The sequence below is a fragment of the Homo sapiens genome, chromosome 3 (assembly GCF_000001405.40).
Source record: "Homo sapiens chromosome 3, GRCh38.p14 Primary Assembly".
NCBI lineage: Eukaryota > Metazoa > Chordata > Mammalia > Primates > Hominidae > Homo > Homo sapiens.
Genome location: NC_000003.12, coordinates 71,815,135 through 71,822,998, shown reverse-complemented (window position 1 = coordinate 71,822,998; position 7,864 = coordinate 71,815,135). Strand labels below are relative to the sequence as shown.

At 39.0% G+C, this 7,864-nt stretch overlaps 3 annotated features.

Annotated features, from left to right (window-relative positions):
* Positions 5,098-5,786: an enhancer, noted in NCBI's record as "OCT4-NANOG hESC enhancer chr3:71866364-71867052 (GRCh37/hg19 assembly coordinates)". NCBI's record gives its function as "activates a minimal SCP1, AML or CMV promoter by ChIP-STARR-seq in naive H9 embryonic stem cells {active_cell/tissue: H9 hESC(naive)}" and the evidence as "EXISTENCE:reporter gene assay evidence [ECO:0000049][PMID:30033119]".
* Positions 6,433-7,005: an enhancer, noted in NCBI's record as "NANOG-H3K4me1 hESC enhancer chr3:71865145-71865717 (GRCh37/hg19 assembly coordinates)". NCBI's record gives its function as "activates a minimal SCP1, AML or CMV promoter by ChIP-STARR-seq in naive H9 embryonic stem cells {active_cell/tissue: H9 hESC(naive)}" and the evidence as "EXISTENCE:reporter gene assay evidence [ECO:0000049][PMID:30033119]".
* Positions 7,006-7,578: an enhancer, noted in NCBI's record as "H3K4me1 hESC enhancer chr3:71864572-71865144 (GRCh37/hg19 assembly coordinates)". NCBI's record gives its function as "activates a minimal SCP1, AML or CMV promoter by ChIP-STARR-seq in naive H9 embryonic stem cells {active_cell/tissue: H9 hESC(naive)}" and the evidence as "EXISTENCE:reporter gene assay evidence [ECO:0000049][PMID:30033119]".

Here is a 7,864-nt window from a genome sequence, read left to right as displayed (position 1 = left end):
CATGTATCAATGTGTGAAGGAAGTAGGACAGATGTGATTCTCACAATGCAAATGCGGAAACTGAGCCCCAGAGGTATTCAACTGGGTGAAATGTCCCTGTTTCCCATTTCTAATTGCAGGAAAGAATCTAGCCCCAGCGCTGTAGGCCTGATGACATTGATTACATCATTGTTTGTAGCGTGCCCAGGGACTGGAAAGAACATGGGGTCAATCAGGAGGGAAATGTTGAACAAATGTTATATACCCATAGTATGAAATACTATGCCACTATTTAAAATAATGGCTTAGATCTAAACTCAGAAAAGCAAGTTAGAGAAAAATATGTATAAATCAATTCAATTTTTTACTTAAAAAAGGAAAGATTATATTTAGGTAAAATTACTTGCAGGGCTTCATGGAAGATTAATGAAAGGTAGATATATACTAAATCATTAGTATTACCTACTTGAAGAGAAATAGGCTATAGGGATGGTCAAGGGAGATGGAAGAGTGAATAATCAGCTTCTTTGTTGTATAATTTCATTTGTTTCAAAAAGCAATGTTTTTGCAGTTTTAAAAATCTGACAAAGACAACGTAAAACAATAAAATAAGATTCTTTCTTCTAGTTCTATTTTAAGTGAAGTAACCTCCCAAGATTACCTTAATTGAAAGGGGCAGCATTAGTGCTTGTTTTTGACCCCAAAACCATGGCCTTTCCTTAGAGCTACAGCTGCCTTTCCTGTATCAAGTCTTCATAAAACTTTGCACCCTTGAAACTAGCATTGGGTGAACACACACGGAAAAGAACAGAATAATGTCACGTAAGAAAACACAGCCCAAATTATTATTGTTGTTAGCACAGTGTTTAATGCAAATTTAAGCATGTGAATCAGGTATCACAATAGCTGTTGAAGAAATGTAATGCTGACAGTATTTGGCAATAAAATAATAATCACTGTGTATATCTCTGATGAAATGAGATTTACTACATTTGAGCTCCTAATTGTCTGCCACACTACATTAGAGATGGATACTACTATTGTCTCCACTGCTCAGAAATATGAAATTCAAAGCAATATGCACGGTGTCTTGAAATAAGCTAGCTTAATGAACCAGCAAATTAGACCTTTCTATCTCTTTATTTACCAACCAGTTCCATGAATGTATCAGAGTTCATTACAAGAGGGCAAAATTTAAAGAAATGCTGCTAAATTCATTTATGATTAGAACTAATGACTTTGAAAAGACTTCTCATATTTTTAGAGAAAGCCATAATTTATTATTGAATTTATATGGCCTTGGGTAATAAACGTTCAATCTTTTCTCACTTACGTCTGTTATTTATAGTTTGGATTTTGTAAAACAGCCCCACACAAAAAAATTCCCATAAAGAAATCGACTTTCCCCCCGCTAAACTCGGGAAAGGCATTCAGAAAATACAATGGCAAAACTTTCTTCTTGATTTGTGTCAGTGGTTCTCAGTGGGGGTGAGGAGGATTTTGGCAATGTCTGGAGACATTTTTGGTTGTCACAGCTAGCAGGAGAGGGAAGGACAGTGCTATTTGTATCTGGTGGGTAGAGGCCAAGGATGCTGCTAAACATCCTGCAACGCACAGAACAGGCACCCACAACAAACAATTATTCAGCCAAAATGTCAATAGTGCTGAGACTGAGAAGCCCTGAACTGTGTGTATGTGTCTCATTTAAAGAATGCTCCATTTCATTCAATGTTTTCTAAAATGAGATCACTCTCCATCCTGTCACGTAGGCTTAGAGCGAGACCAAGTAAAGGAATGGATCTGGCTCAGATGATATTTTTCCCCTAATAGTTACAGGAATAAAGACTTCAGCATCTGCAATAAAGATGATAAAGTATGGTGATAATATAGATGACTTAAGTTTGTTCAATCATTTACATTATCTTCCAGGAGATACCTTTCCTATTTGAAAGCAAAAGCATCTGATTACCTAATAGCTTTCAGTATGTTAGCATATTGGTTGAACATATTTAAAAGAAATCTGTTCGAGACTCCAATTTAGATGAGAGGAGTCAGTAGCCAGCAGATCTATGGCCAGAGTCAAGAATGAAGGCAAACAATGGGAAGATCAAAAGGTCTGATTCAGGCTGGGCGTGGTGACACACACTTAATCCCAGCATTTTGGGAGGCCGAGGTAGGAGGATTGCTTGAGGTCAGGAGCTTCGGACTAGCCTGGGCAAAATACTAAGACCTTGTCTTTCCAAAAAAAAAAAAAAGTTTAAATTTTTATTTTGGATTGGGATAAATGTGCAGGTTTGTTACAAGGGTATATTGCTACAAGGGTATATATGCGTGATGCTGAGATTTGGGCTTCAATTGGTCCCATTACCCCGCATAGTACCCAGTAGGAAGTTTTTCAGCCCTTGTCCCCTCACTCCCTGCTCCCTCCCCCCTTTTGGAGTCTCCAGCGTCCACTGTTCCCATTTTTATGTCTATGCGTACTCAAGGATTAGCTCCCACTTATAAGTGAGAAGATGCAATATTCGGTTTTCTGTTTCTGCATTAATTCACTTAAGATAATGACCTCCAGCTGCATCCGTGTTGCTGCAAAGGATGTGATTTTGTACTTTTCTATGACTATGTAGTACTCCATTAGTGTATATGTACTACATTTTTAAAATTCAATCCACCATTGATGGACAGCTAGATTCATTCCATATATTTGCTATTGTGAATATCGCTGCAACAAACATACAAGTACAGGTGTCTCTGGTAGAACAATTTGTTTTCCTTTGGGTATATACCCAGTAATGGGATTGCTGGGTCGAATGGTAGTTCTCTTTTTAGTTCTTTGAGAAATCTCCAAACTACTTTTCACAGTGGCTGAACTAATTAGAATTTTCTTTAAAAATAGCCTGGCCTGGTAGCATGTGCCTATAGCCCCAGCTCTTCATGAGGCCCAGCTCAAGCCTAAGAGTTCAAGCTTACAGTGAGCTATGATCTTACCACTGCACTCCAGCCTGGGTGACAGAGCGAGACCCTGTCTCTTAAAAAAAAAAAAATCTGATTCACTTTAGCTCAGAATTGCTTGGAACATTATTTACAATCTGTTTCAAGGTAGGAATTGTACACTTTTGATAGGAATCAGTTTAATTTGAATATGGTAGAATTTCTCTTTTGGCATTCTAGATGTAGGTTAGCTTTTTCTCTAATCTGTCTATCATATGCATGCATGGGGAAACTGGTTAATTTGATATAATTTAACCTGACACTTGTAGTTCCCCTGTGATAACAATGATCAAACTTTGTATATAGGTCTTATTTATTTAAATAAAATCTAATTATTATGAAATAGCCCAGTGAGGAAAAGTAAAAGAAACTGAAATTCTTTTCATCCAAAAGAAAATAATGATCAAGTATTGGCCGGGCGCAGTGGCTCAGCCTTGTCATCCCAGCACTTTGGGAGGCTGAGGTGGGTGGATCACAAGGTCAGGAGTTCAAGACCAGCCTGGCCAAGATGGTGAAACCCCGTCTCTACCCTCTCTCTACTAAAAATACAAAAATTAGCCAGACGTGGTGGCATGAGCCTGTAATCCCAGCTACTCGGGAGGCTGAGGCAGGAGAATCGCTTGAACCCGGGAGGTGGAAGTTGCAGTGAGCCGAGATCGTGCCACTGCACTCCCGCCTGGGTGACAGAGCGAGACTCCATCTCAAAAATAATAATAATAATTAATAAAAATGATCAAGTATCAAAAATTAAAACATTAGAATCCTAATTCATTAAACTTCTAGGGAACTAGGGTGTCCTGAAAGAAACTTGGTTAAATAGAAAACGTGTTCTTATATCCTTGTATCTCATTAAGTAGAATAAATATAATTGAAACATTCACGACTTAAGGATTGTATAATGTAAGATTTCCTTTGGGAAATGTTTTAATGGCTATATGTTTATTGCCATATATTTTTAGGAAAATAAATGTTATAGCACATCAAATACATGATTTCACCAATATTACTGCTCTCGGAAATAATGAAATAGATCTTGGTGTTAAGCCCAACTTGATTTAAAGACAAATATTAATGATGGTACGGGTGGTACTCAGATGTAGCAAAAATTGTGACGGGTACTCAAATGAATGGAATCCTGTGGCAGTACTTCAGAGTCATCATTCAGAACATTTTTATCGTATAGCCCTGGGGTGAACAAAGCGAAAAGGATGAAGGTCAAATGACCTCAGTGTATGTCATTACATTTTTGGTTTTTACAATTAAGAACAGTTAACATTTATGGGTGCTTGTGGTGCACCCAATAATGTTTATATAGTGCTTACTTAGTACATGCCAGGTGTTATAAGAATTTTACTTGTTTATTGTTTTTAATTCATTTAATCCCCACAAAAACCTCATTTAATAGATTACAGCTAGTACATGGTGAAGCTGGGATTTGCACCCAGGTGTCAGCCTCTGGAGTCTGCGCTCTTTAGCAACTCTGCAATAAGGCATCTCTTGTGATAACAACAAGTGCCGCACATATTATCTCATTTAATTCTCACTGTGCTCTTCTGCTGAGCTACATTATATCATTGAATACTTGGTGTCAATGGGGCAAGCCAATTCATTTCTCAATAAGTTGTATGGCAGGAAAAGCTTTCAATTACACAAGATTCTAAGTCAATTAAAACCACAGTGGGGAGGGCACAAGAAGAATTACTGAAGTGTGAAAATCAAAAAGAATGTAGAATTTCAATTAACATTTATTTCTTATCTCATCCTTTTCAAAATTCATTATTTGTGTATACATTATAAAGCATTTATGCATCGTTGCAATTGTGCATTATATAATTTATATCTTTTATTTGAGACAGGGTCTCCCTGTGTCACCCGGGCTGGAGTGCAGTGGCATGATCTCAGCTCTCTGCAACCTCTGACTTCTGGGTTCAAGCGTTCCTCCCACCTCAGCCTCCTGGGTAGCTGGGACTACAGGCATGCTCCACCATGCCCGGCTAATTTTTGTATTTTTAGTAGAGACAGGGTTTTGTCATGTTGGCCAGGCTGGTCTCAAACTCTTGACTTCAGGTGATCCACCCACCTCAGCTTCCCCCAGTGCTGGGATTACAGGTGTGAGCCATTGCACCCTGCCCATTATGTAATTTATAAATACATATACGAATATTGGGAATGCATGATCAAAAATTTTACACTGATGGGATGTTTGTACTTAATACATATTTTATAGTAACTCCAGGTTTTCTCCCTGCCTGGGCCATTTCCATGACATGAACAAGTCAACTTGGAAACTTACATTATCTCCTTAAAACCTGTATCCACACTTAAATGAAGTATGCATGCCTTCATTCACTATGCCATCCAAATTCATTCCCACAGCACATTGTCACTAATTGCCTGGGAGTATTTCAGACTCACAAAGTATATCTTACATTGAGGCTTCATCTACAAGACAAAACCAAAAACAAAACAGCTAATTGATTCAGAAAAAATATCTCATTGTCTGAAGGAATCCAAGAGGTTGAATGAATTAGCTGTTAGGATATCCATTGTGCTAGGCACAGCAGGTACCACACGTATGGGCTCTGTCCTGATGGAGCTGACAGTTTATTGTTGCAGTCGGGAGCACAAATCCCTGGCAGTATGACCTTGCGCAGATGATTCATCCTCTCGGTGCTAAGTTTTCTATTTTTACAATGGGCATAATAACAGCACCTACTTCAAACGATTGTGGTGAAAGAGATGGTGAATTAATATATGGAAAGTGTCTCGCACAGTGTCTGGCATCCACAAAGCACTATATTCTCTGTTTTGTTGTTGTTGTTTTTGTTTTTCATTGTCAAAGGAGGTGAACGAAGCACTAGATTCTTGTCACTTTGTGTGATGATTAAGGTCATGTGTCAGCTTCACTACCCCACGGTACCCAGATATTTGCTCCAACCTTATTGCAGGTGTTTCTATGAAGGTATTTTTAAATGAGATTCACATTTACATCAATAGACTTTGAGTCAAGCAGACTACCCTCAATAATGTGAGTGGGCCTCACCCAATAAGTTGAAGGCTTTGAGAGAAAGGACTGACCTCCCCCGCGGAGGAGGGGATTCTGCCAGCAGACTGTCTTCAAAGTTGAACTGCAATACCAACTCTTCCCTAAGGCCTCCAGCCAGCTGGGCCACCCTGCAGATGTTGGATTTACCAGCCTCCACTATCGCATGAGCCAATGCTTTAAAATCTCAATCTCTCTCCCACCTTTTTATTTCTCTCTGTCATACACATCTATGTGTGTATATATGTGTGTATACTCATATAAGAGAGATATGTAACTCTGTATTCATCCGTAAGTAAGAGTTACTTAAAGCTAAGAGTGAGTTACTGATACAGAGTAATATATCTCTCTTATATGAACACACACACACACACACACACACACACACACACACACACACACACGGGTATTTATGTACACGTATCCTGCTGGCTCCAATTCCCTGGAGAACCCTGACTAATACACTGTGGGATAATGGCAGCTAGCATTTATTGAGCCCCTTCTACTTACTGTTTAACACTTCAGATATGATCTTACTTATTCTTCAGAAAATCCCTATTACCAACCACCATTTTACAAAAAAGAAACTGAGCCTAAAACAAGCCAGTGACTTCTTTGCCCCAGGTCATTCAGCTAGTGTGTAGCAGAGGCAGGATTACTCAAGTGCCTCCCTCACTTCTCCAGTACAAGTAAATGCTGTCATTGTTTGAGTATTCAAAGGTTTTGAATGGAGTGATCTGTCTTCAGTATGCCCACAATGCCAGGTGATGTAGAAATATTTATGTGGCTATTTTAAAAACACTTTCAGGCTATTGAGAGATACTAATTGCCAAACAAATTTTGTCCCCCCTTTTTTTTCTCTTTCTTTCTTTCTTTGTTTTTTTTTTTTTGAGATAGGGTCTCTCGCTCTGTCACCCAGGCTGAAGTGCAGTGGCATGATCATAGCTCACTGCAGCCTCAACCTCCTTGGCATCAGCCTCCTGCATAGCTAGGACTACAAGCACAGAACCACACCTGGCAGTTTGTTTTTTTAAGTAGACACTCATGTCTCACTGTTTTGCCCAGGCTGATCTCGAACTCCGAGGCTCAAGCAATCCTCCCGCCTCGGCCTTCCAAAGTGCTGGGATTACAGGCATGAGCTACCACACCCAGCTGACCACTTCTAATTGTAATTCTTGCCTGGGCTGAACTGTTGAACTGCTTCAGCAAAGCTATTTGCAATACAGCAGACAGAAGCTAAGTAGACAGCAAAAAACATGGAGACCACCCAATCCTCTGCCACAGGGGCTACCTGGCAGAAGGGAGCAATTTTAACATCTTAGAGTGAAATTAGCCAAGGTATCCTGACCAATTGTGGTTTTTGAGGGAAATAAATCTCTTTTGCGTTAGTTGAGGGAAACAGCTGTTTACAAATGGACTTTCAAGACCTCTCCTTCCTATCACTGTGCATATTATGGAATTAGCAAATCCAATCAGGCTTCTTCCAGTAAATAACTGTGACTATTGAATGAAGCTTATCTGAGGGTTTGCCAAGGACATTTAAACCAGTCCGAGAACCATCGGGCAAACCAAAATTAGCCAGCATTCACAATTTCCTTTTATGTGCAAAGCTGTTTCTAAAATTTAAGAGTTCAAAAGAGCTTTGAAGGAATATTTTTATAATCTGTGCCACTGGGTAACAGATTGAATTTAGCCTCAACTGGTGATATTTGTCTCCTTAATTATCAGCAATAACAACACTTTAAATTGACATGGTGCTTTTAACTTTTTGCAAAGAATGGTCAAGTTCATTTATCAACTCATCTGCTTTGTTGTATCATACTGTAATTTTCAACTGTCTAAGACAACAGGCTA